The sequence below is a fragment of the Homo sapiens genome, chromosome 7 (genome assembly GCF_000001405.40).
Source record: "Homo sapiens chromosome 7, GRCh38.p14 Primary Assembly".
Classification (NCBI taxonomy): Eukaryota; Metazoa; Chordata; class Mammalia; order Primates; family Hominidae; genus Homo; species Homo sapiens.
Genome location: NC_000007.14, coordinates 96,173,694 through 96,195,589, shown reverse-complemented (window position 1 = coordinate 96,195,589; position 21,896 = coordinate 96,173,694). Strand labels below are relative to the sequence as shown.

The window sequence follows — 21,896 nt, the reverse complement described above, 5'->3', positions numbered from 1 at the left end:
TTGGAGATTTCCATGGAGGGGGAGGGAGTCAGGTTTTTAATTCTGAAAAGCAACTTTTTATGTGTGCATGGTAGACCACAGAGGTCCAGACTGCAAGCCCAAGCTCCAGACTGACAGTCAGAACCACTGACTCTCAGTGATAATTTAGATGAGGTCTGAGGAAAGTCTGAACCAGTAGCATCAGGAACAAAAAGGAAAAGGTGCATTTGGGCAAACTTTCAAAGGCCTAAGGGACAGAATTTGGTAACTGGTTTACTCTGGGAGAAAGGAAGCTTGAACAATTCAGAATGACAGCTTTCTAGGTGAGGTGGCCAATAAAACTACATGCCTAATAATTAAGCTGTGAACATAGAAGAGAGACCAGGTTTGAGCACTGGGTTGGGGGATCTACAATATGGGGTTAGCGATGTGTCATTTTATGGCCTTTACACGATACCCACGTGGATATATTCTCTAAACAGAAATTCTGGTCCAGCAGAAAGGAATGAGACTTGAATATGGGAGTTAAGCCTTAGCTTTTAAGAAATCCTTGAGGGCTTAAGAGAGAGAGCACTCTGTCTAGGAGAGTAGAGTGAGAAGATGTGAGGACAGAGGGCCAACAGATGCTTCCCATTTAAGGAGCCAGTGGTGGAGGCTCCAGAAAGACTGGGATCCCAGAAGAGAGTTTCAGCTGAGGCAGGCTGGTTCGAAACTGGCAGATGGCTACAAATGAGGAGATTCTTTTAAATAGGATAAGAACTCTGATTCTTACTATTAAATGTCTTATCTTTAAAATATTTTAAATGTAGACATTTTCAAACTGCAAAAGTAGAAGACTATAATGACCCATCATGCAACTGCTATTTGGCTTCCGTTATTGCAAATACTGTATTTCTTCTTTCATCTCCCTGCCTTTCTGGGGAAGGAAAGGAAGATCGAGTACTTTAAAGCAGTATCAGACTCATGTCATTTCCCTTACACTTTAGTTTGCACAAATTCATAAGGACAATTATTTTTTACATAACTTGAATAAATACGATGTCATTATCTCACTAAAATTAAAAATTAATTTCTTAATATCGTCTAAAAAAACTCCATTATATTCAAATAATTTGAAGTTTTTGAGAGCCCTGTTGGTGTTCCTTTTTTTTTTTTTTTTTTTTTTTTTGAGACAAGGTTTCACTCTGTCACCCAGGCTGGAGTGTGGCGGCATGATCTCAGCTCACTGCAACCTCCTCCTCCCCAGGCTCAGGTGATCCTCTCACCCCAGTCTCCCAAGTAGCTGGGACTACAGGCATGCACCTCCATGCCTGGCAAATTTCTTTTTTTTTTTTTTTTTGTAGAGATGGGGTTTTGCCATGTGGCCCAGGCTGGCCTGGAACTACTGGGCTCAAGGGATCCATCCACCTCAGCCTCCTCAAGTGTTGGGATTACAGGCATGAGCTACTGTGTCTGGCTGGTGTTACTTTTTAATTGCATAGAAGTTAGCTGTCACTGCAAGGGCCCTGTTTGGGAAATGAGCAGAGTGTTGTGAGGAAGATAATAAAATGCTCTCTGCAGGAGGAATGTTCCTTCCATATAGTGCACAGTGAGTTTTGATGGGAGGCTGTTTTCTTTTGTGTACACACTTATCCCCTGGGAATAGCAACAGAGCTCTGTGATTGGACTTTCTGTCTTCAGATCATTTTAATTAAACATATGCAATGATACCATGACAGGTTTACCTCCCCTGATCCACATACCATGCAACTACTTAGAGCAGTAGTCCTTAATCAAGACATATGGCTCTATGCAGAGACATTTTTGATTGTTATGACCTTAGAGGGAAGGGGCTACTTGTATCTAGTGGGAAGAGAATAGGGGTACACACGACAGCCCTCCCGTAATAAAGACTTACCCTGTCCAAAATGCCAATAATGGCAAGGCTGAGAAACCCTGTGTTGGAGAAATAGCAGAGAAGAACCACCACTCTTTTCTATCTATTGTTACATCATGTGTTTGGGTACCAGGTTGCAGTTAAGAATTTTTCTCTTTTCTTTGGAGAGAAGTTAAAGTCCCTGGCAGTGTTTTTCCTCAGATCATCTGCATCACCTAAGCTGGGGTTGGCCAGATCTTTGAACCTACAACACTTCATTCCGGTTTTCATTTTCTTTGTGTTCATGGACTCTAGAGAGCACGGAAGTAATTGGGTTTCATTGGGTAGCAGAGTAAGGTAGAGTGCACTTTCTCAAGACATGTTCATTGGTCTGAGCAAAGTTCTGTCTCTTGGAAGGAGACAGTAGCTTGGTGGTGCTATTAGGCAGATGAGGGCTTGTTAGATCAAGATGTAAACTCTCTTTCTTCAGTCTGATTTTAAAATGAACTGTCATTTGTAGTAATTATTAAATGAGAAGCATAAATTAAGTATTTTACTTTCTTTATTTGTAGGAAATACAACTGGAGCACGCAAAGCAAGCCTTTGTGCAACGGGACAATGCTAGGACTGGGAGAGTCACAGCCATCGACTTCCGAGACATCATGGTCACCATCCGCCCCCATGTCTTGACTCCTTTTGTAGAAGAATGTCTAGTAGCTGTAAGTTGTAACTTGCCCTAATGAAGTGGTTTAACTCAGTAAATAAGGAATTATAAAAACAATTCTTATAAGTTATGTAGTGTTTTTTTTCTGTTGCAAACACTAACATTTTAATGTGATCACATACATTACTAAACTCAAACAAAGAGTGTGTTTTGGCTAGTTTTAGTGGGTAGGTTAATTTGTTGTCTGGGTAATACGGAATATCTTCGAGAAATACATTAGCTTTTTAAAGATAAAAGGAAAAACAGATTTGTGATCTCATGTTAATTTTGTTTTAGATTTTGAAGTATATCAAGGGCTGATTTTTGCTAATCTTCTTAGATGCTCTAAGGCAAAAAAAAAAAAAAAATAGTGCACATGTATATCATTTGTTAGAGTAGTTAGCACAACAGAAACTCCAAACCTTAGATTCCCTTTCACCGTGTATGTGTCGAGGCCACAGAGTTACATGTGACAGCAGAGCCCTGCAGTTGTGTTTCATGGAGCCTCCCTCCTCCAGGTGTCAGCTGCTGTCCTTCCCTCATGGGCCCTGGGGATGTCCTGCAACATTCTGTGGTGGTGGTTCTTAAGACCTGCTCGTGGAGCACCAGAATCACCACTAAAAACTATTAAAACTACAGATTCTGAGATCTCTTCTAGGCCTATCATACACCATCTATAGGCGATGAGGTCTTAGAATCTAATTTTGTAAAGCTTCTGGGTGATTTTGGTAATAACTCAGTTTTAGGACCAATAGCCCGTGGTAACTCTCCTTTTGTTAATCCCAGGGAGAATACTGTTTTCACCATCATCTGGGTTTCCCACAGTGCTTACCATAGGCAGGAACTCAGAGTAGCCTTTCAGTTTCCTTTCTTCCCCCAAGTCCTTAGTTCTAGAGACATGGTATTCCAACGAGGCCTCTTCCATTCTGGCACTGTGTTAATCTAACTCCTTTTCTTGGGCGCCCCCTTCTCTACTCCATACTAAACTTTCATGTCAGCTATTTTAAATGATTACTAAGTGAAGATTTATGTGGTTGTTACCTTGTAAAGAAGTGCTTTCCTAATAAAAATATTTTGCCTTGCTAGGGAAGGATAGAATTTGAAACTCCAAACTGAAGTCTCATTCATAATGGACATTCTGTCTGTTTCCCTTGTCCCCTGTGAAGAAATATGGTTTCTTAAAAATTCTGATTATCAGAATTTTTACTAGTCTTAACCCCCCATGAAAGTATATGGCATCTCATAATTTTACCATAATATGCTTGTTTGCTAGAAATCCCACCAATGTAAAGTCTGTACCTAAATGATTATTTATTACTGGTTATAAGTAACTTGACAAGTCTTGATATTAATGTTACATTGACTACTTTTCATAGTATGTTTGCATTGATACAATACAGTTTTTCATGCATAAGCACACACATGTGTGCATATGTACTTATAGTTTTTGCATGTTTAAGCCTTTAAGATTTGCTCATTAGATGAAATAAACCAACTTATAAAACATTTCCAATTGAAATTTGAACTCTAAATTACTACTAGTCCTGTTATAATCCTACACATGTATTTATTTAGTTTTCTAGGAGTTGTGTATGGAGAGTACAAGTTCTGGTCATGATTAGTTGCAGTTGCTTCTAAAAATCATTTATAGCTTTTTTTTAATGCAAAAGAAAAATACTTATAGTCATTTCTTCTTGTACATGCATTTTTGATTACTTTCAAACTAGTTTTAGATGTATGTACTTCTGAATCATCTATAAATCTTTTGTATATTTTTCTTCTCTCTTGTTTTCAATTTATTTGAGGCTGCTGGAGGTACCACATCCCATCAAGTTAGTTTCTCCTATTTTAATGGATTTAATTCGCTCCTTAACAACATGGAACTCATTAGAAAGATCTATAGCACTCTGGCTGGCACCAGGAAAGATGTTGAAGTGACTAAGGGTGAGTGAGAATATATCTGAATTCTAGCCTGCAAGTATTGTGGTGTATTATTATTAGGGTGAAGAAGGCAACTAGTACTTTATTATTTTTCTATCCCATTGACACATATTAACTATATGATAACGTGTGTTTTTCATCCTTTGATCAGACAAACAAAAGCAAACAAAACAATCTTCACCAAGTTTTAAACAAACTGGGCCCAGCTTGGTGACTCACACCTGAAATCCCAGCAGTTTGGGAGGCCGAGGTGGGTGGATCACCTGAGATCAGGAGTTCGAGACCAGCCTGGCCAAGAGGGTGAAACCCTGTCTCTACTAAAAATACAAACATTAGTCGGGTGTGGTGGTGGGCACCTGTAATCCCAGCTACTTGGGAGGCTGAGGCAGAAGAATCGCTTGAACCTGGGAGGCGAAGGTTGCAGTGAGCCGAGATCACGCCACTGCACTCCAGCCTGGGCAACAAGAGCAAAATGCCATCTCAAAAATAAATAAATAAATAAATAAATAAACTGAAGACACCCTTTGAATAAGGAAAACATGTAAAGTTTCTTAAATATTTTCAAATCTTGCTACAGCTTGAGCTAAATTGGCAACCTCTAAGGAAGCCTTCAGGTGTATATGAGGAATTCCATAAAGTTGCATTGGTGACAGTGTAAGTTGGTCTGTAGGCTTGGGACAGGATATTATCAGCATTGTAATGGGATTAAGAAAAAAAATCAGAGCCGGTGCGGTGGCTCATGCCTGTAATCCCAGCACTTTGGGAGGCCGAGGCGGGCAGATCATGAGGTCAGGAGATTGAGACGATCCTGGCTAACACGGTGAAACCCCGTCTCTACTAAAAATGTATATATAAAAAAATTAGCAGGGCATGGTGGCACACACCTGTAGTTCCAGCTCCTTGGGAGGCTGAGGCAGGGGAATCGCTTGAACCCAAGAGTCGGAGGTTGTAGTGAACCGAGATTGCACCACTGCACTCCAGCCTGGGCAACAGAGCAAGACTCTGTCTCAAAAAAAAAAAAAAAAAAAATCAGAATTCCCTTAGGAATTCCACACCTTCATTAATATAACCACCTAAATTAATATAATTAATAATCCTAATTTAACCAGTTAATTAGATTAATATAACTTCCCCTCCTGGGACCTATGCATATGAAGTTTCATATATGATTCCTTATTTTCTCTGATTGGCAATTTGAATAACATCAGATGACCCCAAGCTTTTAAACTGTATATTCAAGAACATATTCTGCACACGCTTTCCAAATGGATGCAAGAACTGCAAAAATTCTTACCTTATTTGGATTGACTTGAATTCTACAACTGATGATAATAATAAAGTTTTGTGATGTTCACTCATTCCAGTGCCTTGAGTTAATGCTGAATTTAGTGGCTATTTCTTCTTGAATCTTTCCCTTTTAACTTTTCTTCCATACAGAGGAGTTTGTTCTGGCAGCTCAGAAATTTGGTCAGGTTACACCCATGGAAGTTGACATCTTGTTTCAGTTAGCAGATTTATATGAGCCAAGGGGGTAAGTTGGCTTTTTTTTTTTTTTTTTTGGAATTAGCTTAATAAAAGGAGGTTAGGAGGAGGGCAGCAATCAGGAGAAAAAGAAGCCAAACTGAAGGCTATACTGAAATATGAGAAATGAAAAAAGGGATGTTTTTAAATTTTATAATGTAAATTGTAATAAATTGGTATATTTGTTGCTTGTGTTTGTTTTTCCCCTACAGACGTATGACCTTAGCAGACATTGAACGGATTGCTCCTCTGGAAGAGGGAACTCTGCCCTTTAACTTGGCTGAGGCCCAGAGGCAGGTGAGCAAAGAGGAGCAAACTTGCATTCTGGGGTTTCCTTAGCAGGATACCCCAACCCTGTTCCACTTGCAGTTGCCTTTGCGGCATTGGTATCTGACTTAACCATTTTTCTGTTTTGCACCAAAACTCTCGATAAATTTTAAAGGCTGTAAAGAGAAATTGCTTAGAAATGGTGTGATAAACAGGTATTTGGCATTTGCTCATTTCTTGCTAAGGTGGAGTGATTTCCTAACTGCACCAGAAGCCTAATGCTCCGAAAACATGAAGGAGGTCTTTTCTCCTTTCTTGAAGTCTCATGTTGAGAGATGTAGCGAAAGAATCCCGTGTTGGTGTCACTGTGCCTGTCGGCAGCTGCACGTTGCTAAATGAAAGCCGTCTTTGCTCTGTGGAGCAGCCCTTCATCAGCGCATCGTCTAACTGCCATGCCTTCCGTTTTTCTGAATATCAAAATGAGATAATTTTGTTTAGTCTGGAGTTACAGTTTAAAGGCTTTCAGACCTATTTTCTCTGTGAAAGGATTCATAAGTTATATGGAAACAATTTTAGGAATGCTAAATTTTATTTTATGGTTAACAGAAACCAATCTCTTGAAGTTGTGGGAGTCAGAAACTTAAGACATGGAACTTTCTCCTTTAACTCTTACCCAGCTTTCTGTAGATCAGGATTAGAGAAGAAAAGCCTTCATAGCATGTGTTAGTAAAATAAATGGTGTTTGTAAAATAAATCCACTCACAGGCGAGTGTCGTTTTTAGAAAAATTTCTCCTTTTAGGCAGAGCCATCTCTGAATCCTGTGAGACTTCGCAGTTTCTGGCATGGAGCTCTGGGTTTGTACAGAGACGCCAGTGTGACCACAATGGGTTGCTGCAGGCTACACTTTTAGGACTGTCAGACCTTGAGCCAGGGCCCCCTTCTTTTAGCTCTTTCCCACCCAAATGCAGCGGTGAGTTTTGTGTGCAGCATGCAAGTCAAAGTAGTGGGTGTGTGCTCAGTAAATTCTAACGAGCACCTCTGGAAAACCAGCTGGCCTTGCTTAAAAGAGGAAGCCGATTTCTCTGAGTGCAGGAGAAATAACTATAATCACGTGTAGAGGTGGAAGCAACACTGCTCTCCCTTCCCTTTGATTTTTAACACTGCTTAGGAGATGATTATCTCTTCGTCTGTATGCCACCAGCTATTGTAGAAATTTGGGGATTAAGAGAAGCAGAGAAGTTTTTTTTAGATCCCTCCTACTCTTCAGCTGGCAGCGGCTTCCCACAATTTTTCCTTTAAGCTCTTTGCAGCTTTTGAGAGTTTATGATGGGTGCTTGTTGATACTGGCCATGAAAGGGTTAGACCAGATTGATGAGATTTATAGCAGGAAATGATTCGCTGCCGCTTAGAGGTTTAGAGCAATTCACAATGGCCTTACCTGGAATAGGCTTTTTACTGCATGAACCCTAGTGGGCCCGACAAATTCAAGCAAGGGAGGTCGTCCACCTGTGGGCACAGCGCTGCCTGTCCAGCACTGTGCAGCACTTGTAGCATTTATCCTGGACAGAGGAGTGAAGGAGCAGAGTTTTGTCTCATTTCAAGAACATGCTACAGTTCTGGCTTTGGAAAAGTTAAATAAAAGTCTAGGATTTCATTTGTCTTTTAGGAGAGGAATTAATGGTGGTGGTAGGTCCCTCCTCCCCCCACCCTCTATAATTTTCAGAGTATTTTCACTCATTATTTTGATGCCAGAACATTTCTAAGTATTGCATATTTATATCCCTGTAAATAAAATATTGCTTCTCTTTTGGATGCATCTGTCAAAATGAAGGTACTATTGATTTCCATCTATATAGGGCTACAGTTGGAAACAACTCATAGAATTTGCAAAAGAAATGTTTTGTATCTTAAAGAGGCATATTTCTATGTAAAGCTATTTTCAGTTAAGTGACTTTGAAGGAGATTCCAAATGATCTCATTGTATTAGAATTGTGTTACATTGACAGCAACTAAAATTCAGTGGGTTGATAGCTGGGGTTGCTGATTATTTTCATTGTTCACTGATTTTAATTATCATGGATTCTGAAAAACAAATTTTATTGAATGTATGTATTCATTCAACAGGTATTTATTAAGCACTGACTATATGTCACCCTCATTTGACAACTCTCTGTGACATAAAATTACTGTTTTATTTATGCAGACAGAGAAGTGCAGCACTCTGAAATGTTCTGGCATCAAAAACACTGTGAGGATAATAGGTCAAAAGAACCAGAAAACAATGACTGACTGACCTGAAGTATGAATTTAGAAAAGATGGACAAAAAAAGAGAAAAAGTAACGATCAACTGTAATACAGCCACCTAGTTTTAGCTACTGTAAATGTTTTGAGTATCTCTGGGTGGTAGGGAGGCAAAATATTAGTATTAATTTTATATGCATATATATGTAAACCTCTTACAAGCATTTTTAATAAAAAGTGACATCATTTTGTATATAGTCTTAAAAATTGTTTTTAAAAAAATTACCAGGAAATAGGTCAAACATTTAAATAGGTACAAAGAATCATATGACAAATACCTATCTACTTACCATGCTCTTTTTAGCCTATGTTTTCTTTTATAATTCCTTGTGAACATTTAATATCAAATATTCTTTTACAGTATCATTTTGAATGATAGGGTTTTGTTTTAAAGTTATTATTTTTAAAGGCTATAGTCCTCCGTTATTGGACATTTAGAATATTTCCCAAATTTTTGTTCTTTTTGTTTAAAGAGCAAAAATTTGGGAAATAATCGAAATTTCCAATAAGTACTACAAATGTTTTTTAAGTGCTACATTCTTGTAGCTTGTTACATGCATGATTATCTTCTATCCTAACTTTTTTCTTTTTGAGACGGAGTTTCACTCTTCTTGCCCAGGCTGGAGTGCAGTGGCGCGATCTTGGCTCACTGCAGCCTCCGCCTCCCAGGTTCAAGTGATTCTCCTGCCTCAGCCTCCCAAGTAGCTGAGATTACAGGCATGCGCCACCACGTCCGGCTAATTTTTTATTTTTAGAAGAGACGGGGTTTCTCCATGGTGGTCAGGCTGGTCTCGAACTCCTGACCTCAAGTGATCCACCCACCTCGGCCTCCCAAAGTGCTGGGATTACAGGTGTGAGCCACTGCACCCAGCCTATTCTAACTTCAGAGGTTATGTACATTTTAAGGGTTTGGGTGTATATTACTAAACATCTCTCTATTTATGCTTGCTTTAATGGCAAATTTCAGAAGGCTTGTTATCAACTTTTGCCAGGCTGGGTATTGCCACTTAAAACAAAAACAAAAATACATACAAACCAAAAACCTGCCAATTTGATTGATGAAAAATGATGTCTCATTGATGTTTTTATTTGCTTTATTTACTTTATTTTATTTTATTTTTTTGATACAGTCTCACTCTGTTGCCCAGGCTGGAGTGCAGTGGCGCGATCTCGGCTCACTGCAAGCTTCACCTCACGGGTTCACGCCATTCTCCTGCCTCAGCTTCCCAAGTAGCTGGGACTACAGGCGCCTGCCACCACACCCAGCTAATTTTTTTCTTTTTTTTGTATTTTTAGTAGAGACGGGGTTTCACCATGTTAGCCAGGATGGTCTCAATCTCCTGACCTCATGATCCACCCACCTCGGCCTCCTGAAGTGCTGGGATTACAGGCATGAGCCACCGTACCCGACCTATTTTTATTTTTGAGATAGAGTCTTGCTCTGTTGCCGAGGCTGAAGTGCAGTGGCGTGATCTCAGCTCACTGCAACCTCTGCCCCCTGGGCTCAAGTGATTCTCCCTCCTCAGCCTGAGTAGCTGAGACTACAGGCACATGCCACCATGCTGGTCTAATTTTTGTGTTATATTATAGAGATGGGCTTTCACCATGTTATCCAGGCTGGTCTTGAACTCCTGTGCTCAGGTAATCCGCCCGCCTCAGCCTCCCAAAGTGCTGGGATTACAGGCGTGAGCCACCGTGCCTGGCCTCAGTGATGTTTTTAACTGTGCATTTTTTTTAATGAGAATTTGAAAATAGGCTTATAACATCATTTTTGTCAAAGGATGGTTTTGATTATATTGAAATTTGGTTTTAAACATTAATAGCACTAAAATCTTTTTATTAATAAGAACTTATGAAATCCATTCCTACTTTTTTCCTTGACATTTTAGTTGTATCATGGATTTAGAACCCAATGAGTAATGTTTAAAGTTAATGTATGGTCATTTTTGTTTTATCTTCTTTTCTGTCACCTGTTTTCCTGCTCTCTGATTCCTGTGCATGCAAAGCAGAAGGCCTCAGGTGATTCAGCTCGACCAGTTCTTCTACAAGTTGCAGAGTCGGCCTACAGGTTTGGTCTGGGTTCTGTTGCTGGAGGTTAGTCATGGATGAGAGAAAAATTTTCACTTTTGTTATTCCTATTCTCTTTTCTCTGATTTTCCATCTTGAAATGTTAAAGGACAAAGTCTTCTCTAGTCTTTCCCAATGCCAGTTATCAGTTTCTACCTGTGAGGTAGGGCAAGAGTAAAGGGAACTCTTTTCCCATACCTGCATGTGATCAGGGACTTACAAGTGGCATTTTCCTCTATCTACAGATCAGGCCTTCCAAAGACAGGTTACTAATGAGGTTGGGCTGTAGCAATGTGCCTTAATTTAAAATATCTATGACATCCTTTTATTAGGGGATACTTGAATGAAAACCCTCAATTGTTTATTAAAGATATAAGAAAGGTAGTACTGTTTTAAAATCTGTATTTAAAATTCAAAACACATTTCTTTTCTCAGTCTTGTCCTTGACTTTAACTACCTTCTTCTTTCTTCTGACCTATCTTACTTTCTTCTGAGATAATGATATTGTTTAATTTTAGCTGTTGGAGCCACTGCTGTGTATCCTATCGATCTTGTAAAAACTCGAATGCAGAACCAACGATCAACTGGCTCTTTTGTGGGAGAACTCATGTATAAAAACAGCTTTGACTGTTTTAAGAAAGTGCTACGCTATGAAGGCTTCTTTGGACTGTATAGAGGTTAGTGCCACATGCTCAATACCTGTTAGGTGAAATAACACTCAAAGGTTTGGTTTCTCATCTTAGTGCCTGACATGAATTAGCAAGACTGCGTTAAAATGGAAATACAGCAGATTTTCAATTATCCATGCTAATGGGAGTAGGCTGGAGGCATCTAGGGCTTGGCTAATCAAAACAGCCCATAATCTGAAAATTATTTATAGTGCTCTGTTGTATGTTTTATTTCTTAAAATAATAAATTATTTTTATAAGCATCTTCCGTGAATTTTTGAAAGGCTCACATTGTTTGCATCCTTGAAGTACTCTATTCTCCAGCTAACAGGGAAAGGTATTCTGCCACCAGGACAAAGCCTACTCAGGATTCATGATTTTCCTGGAATACACCACAAAAAAGATAACGAAGGGTTCAGTAGAGCTCTCTTTTGCTGCTTCATCCTGAATTAAAGTTGCCCCTTTTCTTCATCTGACTCTCAACCCAATGGAGTTGATTCACACACCCCTCTAGCCAAGGTTTCCCCCCACTGAGACAGCCTGAAACAGGTAATCCTTCTTTCTCCACCTTTTCCTTTAACCATCTAAGGTTCATTAAGCAATGGAAGTAGTAGCAGAGAGTATGTCATCACTGATGGAAAGGATCCCACAGACCCTGACTGCTTTTCCACTGGCATTGGCCGAAGGAGACTTCTCAACTGTTCTTTCGGGGATTGCCTTCTACGAGAAGGAAACAGTGTTTCTGCATCAGTTAAAATACAGTATCACAAGGCAGTTCAAACTCAGCTGCTTTATAATTTGGCAGCGGCAAAGCTGGCAGAGTTTTCCCTCCTCTCCCCTACTAATGCTCTCTCTAGATGAAGAAAACAGTATTTAGTACTCTGCTGAGGTGGACGGTGAAACTGGCAGACATGGAAACCTGTGCCTCTGGGCCTCTTCTGCCATCTGCTGACTCTAGTCTTCAAATTAATTACCCCAGTTAAAAAAAACAAAAAGGATAAACCTTTCTTGAAACCTCTCACCTTAGAAGCCAGAAAGTCTCAAACTCCAGAGAAGTTCCATTTTGCAGGTCCTATTGTGTAGGTAGGTAGCCCCCATCAAAGGCCTTTTGATCTTTGCTCTGCCCTCTTTTCCTTATCCCCTGCCTCTTCTTACAATTTGGAAGGTCTTTGACCTCAGGTGATTGATGATGACCCTTTCAGGGTCACTGCCTTCCATTTGAAATGCTTTTCTTCCCTGATGGCAACAACTTTGCAAATGAAATGGCTTCCAAGTAGTACAAGGTTAATGTCACAGTTCCTATTCTGCAGTGAGTCAGGCAAAATTGGCCGCCTTACCTGTCCATATGGGTGGTTTTTGGAAGGGAAATCTCGAGTCTCAAGTCTGGGCAGACATCTGAGCATTGCTTCATAAACTACTTTTTGGGCTTTTCTTGGTATTAGATTAAATGTCAAGGATGCCTTTAGAATTGTAAGAATGCTTCCCAACACTGCTCAGTGTCTTTAATTTGCTTAAGTTGATTTTTTATTTTGAGTCCTTTTTTCTCGATCTTTGACCATACCTGGCAGGTCTGATTTTTGGTTACGTCTATATTTCCCTTTTGCAACCTGTACTGTTGGCAACTAGAAGTGTGCCTGAGTACTGAGTGCTGAGCTAATGTGGGCTATGCAAAGAGGCTTCCACTCTTGCCGTTTCAGTTCTTTTATCTGTAAGATGAGAGTGACTGCTTTTAACTTCTCAGAGGAGTAGTAAGTCAATATATTAGGTACAGACAGAGGCTCACTGTAAACACCCAAGTGGCAGCTCTTCACCCTTTTCCTGGTTTAGAAATGGCCATTTATCTTTGGGTGCCCCAACCTTAAGGGCAAGAGACAGAGCTGTCTGTCAGGATGATGAGTAGAGTGTGAATATAAGATTAGTTCTAGGAGTCACCTGTGTTCATTTCTTCCTGATATCTTTTCTGGTAAACCATTTTAAAACAAAAAATTTACTGTAAAATTTTTGTTTAGTCCCATTCTGTAATTTGGATCATCTTGAGAGCAAAATGATGACTGACAGTTCAGGTTAAAATAATAATGATACATAACTTTGCCATGAAAATGACTTGTTCCTATTCTTGATTGGTCAGGGATCAGTTCTCTTTAGTTTCTTGTACATCATCAATAATTAATAATTGTATATAACTGCATATTTGTAAGTGCTTATTGGGTAAGAGAGATCAGATGAAAATGTAGGTAACTCATGGTTATTGTTGTTAATTTAAAAAATTACAATATAAGTAAAAAAGACCTGACATATTTCTGAGACTCAGTATTATCACCTTTATGTACAAAGTCACATTATGAAATACCTATATGTGATTCTTTGTACATTTCTCATAAAATGTAACTTTATTTTAAAATTATATTATTCCAGAGGAAAACTGTTACGTTTAAATTAGGAAAATATAGTATTGCTGCTATTAATGCTTTCACCTAGCAATATTTGAGAAGGTATCAGAGTACATCTTTAATTCATACATGTTTTTAAATATTGAGCATAGTTTTTAGTATTACAGAATTTTGCTCAACATGTAATTTTTCTCTATCAAGGCCTATGTAATTGCTCATATTTCCTGAATGAGATAATTTGGGAATGTTGCAGTTGTAAGATCTTTCTCCTACTTTAAAATTACCTTTGTGTATACTTTGAAAAAAGTTGGCATCTGGCCTCAAAGAAGGTGTTTTTGTAGCATGCGATCTTATTATGAGGTTAATAAATATCTCTTTTTCTTATAACAAGAATATCAGAAGCTGTTTTTGCATTTAAAAGCCTTTCCCTGTGGCATTAGAATGAAGGTTATTTTAAAAGAACTCTTGTAGTGCTCCACCACAAGTTTTGTTCTTTGCCTCCCCCGCAGCTGGCTGCATCAGAATAGTTGTGGAAGTTGCTTGGTAGTCATGAGAGAGTGCCTAGCAGTGCTCTTCAATAGAAATATACCTCAGAGAGTCATGAGAGGTGTTGTGAGTTGGTTAATTCCTGCTCTCCATGTATTGGTATAACTCCGTTTTCTTTATTTCCAGGAGCCTCTCTCCTATTTTTGTGTAAGTTTTAGTTGCTGGAAAAGAGCTCCTTAAAAATCCCATGAGTCTGGCTCTGCAAACCTTCTCTACAGTGCAAACTACTTTTTTCCTAACAAGAAAATGGCAAATTTTCCTAGTTTGTTGTTGTTGTTGTTGTTGTTATTTCTGAAAATCCAACCCCCAGGCCAAGCCTGTCTGTATTAAGGGAAATCACACCTGAGATAATCCAGGTCTTCCTGAAGTCACTTTTAAAATTCTTTCTCTGTTTCCTCCCCAGTCTTCAGAGTGATTTAATGTGCTCAGGTATTTGAAATCCTTAATGAATTACCTGACAACTTGTTTGGTTTGAATGACTGGCATAACCAAATGAATCAGTCATTGGCCTGCTATAGATCTGGCGTATTAAAGAACAACAATTGATTGGGTAATCATCCATAATTAAATGCTCTTAATGTTCCAGGAATAAATAATTTCTGCTTTTAAACTTTGTTGCAGTCTTCTCTCTCAGATCTTTCAGGTGATGAGATGAGCAGCCTTAGACACTGGAAAATGTTTTGGGAGAATCTTGGGGAAAAAGATGTATTAAGAGAAATATGGCCGGGTACGGTGGCTTATGCCTGTAATCCCAGCACTTTGGGAGACCGAGGCGGGTGGATCACCTGAGGTCAGGAGTTCAAGACCAGCCTGGCCAACATGGCCAAACTCTGTCTCTACTAAAAATACAAAAATTGGCTGGGCATAATGGCGGGCCTGTAATCGCAGCTACAGGCTGAGGCAGGAGAATCGCTTGAACCCAGGAGGATGCAGTGATCTGAGATTGTGCCGCTGCATTCCTGCCTGGGAGACAAGAGTGAAACTCTGTCTCAATTTAGAAAAAAAAAGAGATAGAAATCAGGGTCTATCAGAAATACTTCTTAGACGAAAATTTTTGTTTCTATTGATGGGAGAAGCCCTAAAGAAAATCTCCCAGAAAGAGTAATTAGATCATTTTATGAATTAAACTTAATTTAAGCAGTGCTTAACCTTTGAGGAAATTGGCAAAAAAAAAACCACATTTTTTAATCAGCCCATTGATCCAAGCTTGCAGAGTTGTAAATATTTCTATTTCAAGTTGTCTGTGTAGTGCAAAGCAGTCATCTTCCATCCTGGAATGTTCTCAAGGTGACATCTAGAGGATGTTGTGGTGATATCTCAGGGAGTTATTGATACTTTTATATTGCAGAGGGAAGTTTTGGCAGGCAGCTAGTTTAAGCCAGGTCCCTTATCATTGATGGTACTATAAAAGGGAGTATCCAGATTCTTTAGAATCACAGTGAGATTCTTCATTCTTGCATAATTCATGGGGATAAAATAAACTTTAAAATTCTGGCACCAAAATAAAATGATTGAAATTTCCATGACTGTTTTGCATTACTTAAGAACACATGCATCTTGAAACAAACCATAGTTAATCTGTGAACTGCACTCATGTCCATCCATGTCCACCAAAACTTTTAATGATTGCAAAATGGATAGGTTTGAGTCTTTATTTTCTTGGCCAATTTCTGCACGTTTTCATTTAGAGCATTAAGCTATAAAAATATCAGAAGACATGTATTTGGTTATAGGAAGCCACATAAGAATGAGCAGAAGATTTCAACAGATCATTTGTTGGGTTAGCCAATCTCCAGAAATCTACAGTGAGCTAACTTTAGTGAGCACAGGGCATTGTAATCTGAGACTGAGGCGACACACACTGGATCTAAGGTGGGTGAGAGAATTGTTAGAGACTTGAGAGTGCTACAGTAACAACTGATGACCTTAGAAAATTGGAAAAATATGACAAAAAGATAGACGTGTAGGTATCCTAGAGAAGAGGTTAATGAATGAATTAGTTCCACACCTCAAAAATGATAATTTATAACCAGCTACTGTTGCTGAGACTAAAACAAGGGAGATAGATTAAACCTCAGTAGGAGGGAAATAGTTTAGATAGAAGAAAAGATAACCAGGATCCTGAACGTTCTCATGTACTATGGTGAAAAACTGCAGGAGTATCTGATCGTTTTCCCCAATTCTCTTTACTTCTAGAAAGCCCCAGAATAGAGGAGTTGAGGAACTGATTTTTTTCCAGACCATAATCATAATCACTTATTTTATGTTTTAACACTTTGTCTCCCAAAGGCATCCTGAGCCATAGCTAAGATAACAGACAGTGCTTGAAATTTTGAGTGTAAATAATTTAACCTAGATAAACTGGCATTTAAATCTTCATTTCTGCATTTGTCCCTGGCTATTTCCCCAGCTCCACTGTACAGCCACCTTGGGGTAGCAGCCCAAAGAGCCTGTCAGAACTGGGTTGTAATGAAGGCTTTGAAAGGCGATAGTGTAGTTGGGAAGGTGGAAATGCCTCATGCCTAGGGGCAATCTGAGTCAAAAGCAGACAGACAAATGGGAGGAGGAGGAGGGAGGAAAGAATGCTTGAGCAAGTGAAGAGAGAAGGGCATGGCAACAGGAGCAGGAATAAAAAGCTCTAAGGCAGGGCACACAAAGTGCTGATAGCTGCAGAATGAAGGTTAATCTGATGTTGAAAGCAAAGGGGTTTCTCGGGGAAGATAGGGACAAGTGTTCTGGTTTCAATAGTGAGGTCAGAAGGGTAAGAATTTGACATCGGAGGGGTTGCTACCAGGTGGAAACTAGATAACACAACAGTGTGCTGGCTGTGGCTTCAGCTACAGGAATAGGGGTGTCTTCTGGATTAATTTTTCCTTCCAAAGTTTACTGCTCGTCTCTGCCCTGAATACCTTCTGCCCTCTATTAGATGCTCTCAGCTGTCTTTCTCTGGTTTGGGCTGGCCCCTGTCTCAGTTCTATGCTGAGATAGAACTGGTAACTACTGCCTTAGTTACCAAGTTTCTTCCTTGGTAGTAGCCCCTCCACCTCTGTGGTCCTGCTAGCGTTGCCCAGCGTGGTCCTTTGGCACCCTGGCCACTCTGGGTTACAGTAGCCGCTCAGCGTGGCTTCAACCCACTCCTGACCCTGCGCCTTCTTCCCAGTATATTCCTGCTCTCACTGGTTCACCAGGTTATAACCTACAGCTTGGCTCTGACATTCAGTGCCTTCGAGGTTTTAAGGAGTCTAATATTCACCATCTGTAGAGACGGGGGAAGCATGATGTGGATGCCTGCTACATGGGCACCATCCCTTTGTTGTGTACAAGGGTCAGGCAGGGCAGGGTGCTGACCCAGCCTGAGCTGAGGCCTAGAGAAAAGTTTCAGAACAGTCTAGTTGGGAAGAAATGCCTTTCCAGGGCAGAGGAGGAACTTGGAGCAGTAAGTCTGTTAGAGAAAACTGGTACCGCAGAGAATTAAGGAGCACAGAGCCCTGATTTGAGAGTACTGGCAGGCCTGAATTCAACTTTGAGTGCTACTACATAGTCGCTCAGAAGTTAGTGACTTGAAACAAGCTGCTTAGCCTGTCTGGATTCCAGTTTCCATGAAGGAGGAGGAGGAAGAATAAGTGATAGTGATGATGAAGATCAACAACAACAACAAAAATCCATTTCTGTAGTCTTTACTGTCTGTACTTGGTACTGGTCTGAGGATTTTGTGAGTGTTAACTCATTTCATCTTCACGACTACCCCGTGAAAATGGCATCATGATTATTCCCATTCTACAGATGTGGAAACTAAGATACAAAGAGATTAGGTAACTTGTCCACAATTACACAGCTAACAAATAGCAAAGTCAGAATTGAAGCTCAGCAGCCTGGCTCCAGACCTCGTGTTCCTAATCACTTGGCTCTTTTGTCACCTGGTAGAAATTACATTGTGAAAAGTTGCTTGTCAGCAGAGGTTAAGGATCATTTAAGTTTTTAACTATAATATTTTATTTCAGCTTAATAACATAGTTGAAATGTGTTGTTTTGTCTGTGCCACTACTTTACCTTGCCCAAAGTATACAGGGCCCCTGGACACTTCCAGACCACATGTGCTCTCACTGCTTGGGGACAGCTGTTCTAAGATAGGCATAATGTCATGGGCACAGCATGATACTCCTTAGCTAATGGTGGACTGTGAACATGATTCAGGCTGAATTGCCTCTTGCAAACAAAAGAAATCAAGGCTATGTATTGAAAAGATAGGTAGAAAGAAGCATTATGTCTTTTGGAATACATAACATATGAGGTAAATAGTGTCTGGTTCTTTGTACACTTATTCATATAATTATCAAAATAAACCAATAGATAGTAAGTAGCACCCTTGTTTTGCCAAGAGGGAACCTAGAATTCAAAGAATTACTACCCAAGATCACTCAGTGTGAAAGATGCACAGACCTAGCATTCTAGCCCAGGTCTGTCCACCTCCAAAGCCCATGCCCTAGATTGTTCATTTTGCTGCCAGCCCGTTGGAAATAGCCTAAAATTAGTTTAAATTAGGCCAGCAATATTGAGTTTCTTTCATAATCCCTTCCAACCCTGAAATTCCAGTTATATTTCTAACAGGTTCTTAAGAATAGCATGCTAGCCCTCTAGTTGAACACAGTGGGCCCAGGAACCTCTTTTGGGGATGTCCTGTGAAGCTTGAGTTGGAGACCCCTGATCTGGGCTTGGTCCCCACACCTTCAGCTCCTTGGTTTGCGCAAGGGACTGAATTCAGAGGGGATAGTGTGATTTATATCTCCAACCCATGAAATGTGAAGACAAAATACTACATTAATACTGTACCCTGTAAATCTTTTCTCGCATTAGCAGCCTTCTGGTAGAGTCGAGTTGCCAAGGAAGCATTGCCATATGTGCTGATGGAGCTGAACTAAAAGGAGAAGATTGGAAAACTAACCACACTAATAAATTTCTTTTGAGGCAGTTGGAAAATGGACTGCTGTTTTGACAAGTTAGAAACAACACACACATCCATTCTCTGTTTCAAATGGTTAAAGTGAATTTCCAGGACCCAACAGAAACATCTTATATTAGAAACCTGATTTTTCTGCTGAATTACCCAGATGTCAGATATATATGCACTTTAGACTTAATTGTGGTTGTGATGAAGTGCCTCACCTAGACTCTCTGCTTTAGGCATTACTGGGCTGTGCTACCTCTCCTCCCTCTGAGGTCAAGGTACAAGGAGGGAGTTTGGAATTCCCACCTCTTTGACTTTTCATTGTTTCACAGATCATGACCTTCTTACAAAGACCATTTACCCAAGACTCATGTTTTCAAGGCCCACATCTGTAGTGGGCCTCAGATTATAATCCAGTCACCTTCATTTTCCTGTTTAACCAGACAAGGTAGTCACTACAAGAATGGTTCTTATCAACAACTTCCGTGAGTGGCAGCATCTGGCCTAGGTCTTAGGAATGGATTTGTGCTTTGGTTTTATTCTAAGTTGAAGTTAATCATTTAATATAAGGAAGCTCGGGGCCTCTAATATATTACCTTAAACTCCTAGTTTCTCTAGCTTCCTCAGGTCTCTGCTCTTGCAAACTATCCTTCACCTGCCTCTAGAACTTTTTACTTTTTGAACTTTACTTTTTACCCTAAAAGCCACCCCATGCATCTACAGAATTTGGTGCATGCTCCTTAGTGGGCCTGGGAGAGAAGTTGTGCAGCGTACCAGGTAAGAGCACAGGCTGGAGTCGGACAGCCTGGGTGGAACCCCGTTCCCCCATCAAACAGCTGAGCCACCATGGGCAGCTCCCTTAAAGTCGGCCTCAGTTTCTTCTTCAGTTGCTGTGGATAAAACAAAAGCCACTGTTTAAGTAAGGTATTGTGTGGATTAAATGTGTTCATTCACATAAAACACACAGTACTGTAGTATGTGGATATAGCGAGTGCTCCCCAAATATTGGCTGTTGTCATTATCACTACTATTAATAATATTGTTATTTATTATCTGGTCTTCTGTGATCCAAGCACAGCCTCCAGTGCCCTGACTCCATGCCATAGCCTTAAGATGTTGGTGCCTTTGCACACCAACTGTTTCCTCTGCCTGGGTCACCTTGCCCTCCATTCTGCTCATTGTCTCATCTTTCCGGGGAACCTCTGCTCACCCTTGAAGTCCCAGGGCAAATATCTCCTCTTCTTTGATGTTTTTTCCCCTCCTGCAGGCAGAAGAACTGGTTCTCTCCACTGGGTTCTCATAGTCCTGTGATGCCCCTGGGGTCTGGTATGCAGCACCTGCTGTTGTTAGGTGGTTTGTCCCCCATCTGGCAGGTGGAGACAACTAGCGTTCCCTTTCCCTCTAAACTCTGAGCTTCTTAGCGGGGAGGCACCAGTCTCACTGTGTTCATCCCAGTTCCTCTCAGTACCAGGCAGACAGAGAAGGCATTTGGTAAATGTTTGCTGAACAAATAGCTACTTGTTGCCTTCTTTGTAGTCTTAAATACGGGGTTTTCCCTTCTGTTTTTTGCCGTTCACAATGCATTACTAAATTTATGGTGAGAAGGATAAATTTCAGTAGTTTGAAAGGCTGGCTGAAGTGATTGTATCTAACACAGTAGTCATTAGGCTCTGTGGCCTGTTTTTTTATTAGTCATTTAAAAAGACTGTCACAGGATAGTTATGGAGACAAGAGTTCATCATTTAAATCACAGTGCTTTCAACCCATCCACAATTTTGGTCTACAATTTAATGATGAGAAAAATACATCTAGCAAGTAAATGTTTAACTAAGCATTTTGTTACTTGATGTGAATACAGGGAGAAAGATGAAAATTTCAATTGTGAAGAGGTAGTTTAAACAGGCGTATGCCCACATATTACTAGTAGAAATTAATGTTGTACTTTTATTAGGTAATAACCAAGCCTTCTCCTATTATAGATATCTTACTGAAAGATCAGTGAGTGAGTGTCATGAGTATAGTTTAGGAGAGAATGCTTGCTTTGGATAAGAATGCTTGCTTTGCCCAAATGGTTGCATATTCCCGTTTTTTCTCATATGCTGCCTCAGCTCATTTAAATTCTAAAGAGCACAGCCCCACTCAAGCTAGCAAGAGCTTAGGGGGGCTTTTGATAAACATTCACACAAGAGAGAAAGAAGGTAGAAATCTCAGATCCAAGAGCAGGAGCTGCACTGGAGGCTGGCCTCAGTGGGACCCAAAGGTGATGGGGACAGGCGCTCCCACCTGTGTGCCTTTCATGGGCTATGTGCATTCTCTTTTTAATCTCTATTCCTTTTGCTCCACATTCTCATCTGTCCACCAATGCACTTCCTCTGCTTATTCATGGTTTCTGCTTCCTTGTGATATTAGCACACACGTGACTTCCAATTGGCTGCTTTCCTTGCTCCACCCATGACATCTTTTCATCTTGTTGCTTCTGTGCTAACTTGTCCCCTCTTCTCTAAAGACTGTCAGTCATCCTCCTGGAGAAGGCATCCTAATTGGCCAGCTCTATTTTTGGTAGCAGGCTCAGGTTGCTGAACTCTTGATTTGCGTGTCTTTTAGGTGTTTTACATTGTCCAGTCAGCTGTGGCCCTGGGGATGAAGCAGGCTTAGATGTTATAGTTGCTTAGTGAAGGGCTGCAAACTCAGGACAGGTGAGATGGCTCACA

General features: G+C 40.2%; 1 protein-coding gene across 8 annotated transcripts in view; it reads left to right on the top strand.

Annotated features, from left to right (window-relative positions):
* Nucleotides 1–21,896, top strand: part of SLC25A13 (solute carrier family 25 member 13) — a 201,879-nt gene that overhangs the window by 126,509 nt on the left and 53,474 nt on the right. For 6 of the 8 annotated variants that reach the window (NR_027662.2, NM_014251.3, XM_047419712.1 and 3 more), the window contains 6 exons: nt 2,407–2,553; nt 4,343–4,481; nt 5,916–6,009; nt 6,212–6,296; nt 10,579–10,663; nt 11,155–11,313. Coding sequence is in view for 7 of the 8 variants with exons in the window: in NM_014251.3 (NP_055066.1) it covers nt 2,407–2,553; nt 4,343–4,481; nt 5,916–6,009; nt 6,212–6,296; nt 10,579–10,663; nt 11,155–11,313 (709 nt within the window). In the remaining variant the exon portion in view is untranslated. Of the gene's footprint in view, nt 1–2,406; nt 2,554–4,342; nt 4,482–5,915; nt 6,010–6,211; nt 6,297–10,575; nt 10,664–11,154; nt 11,314–21,896 lie in introns of those variants that run through there. The other 2 variants (NM_001160210.2, XM_047419715.1) reach the window with 2 other exon arrangements.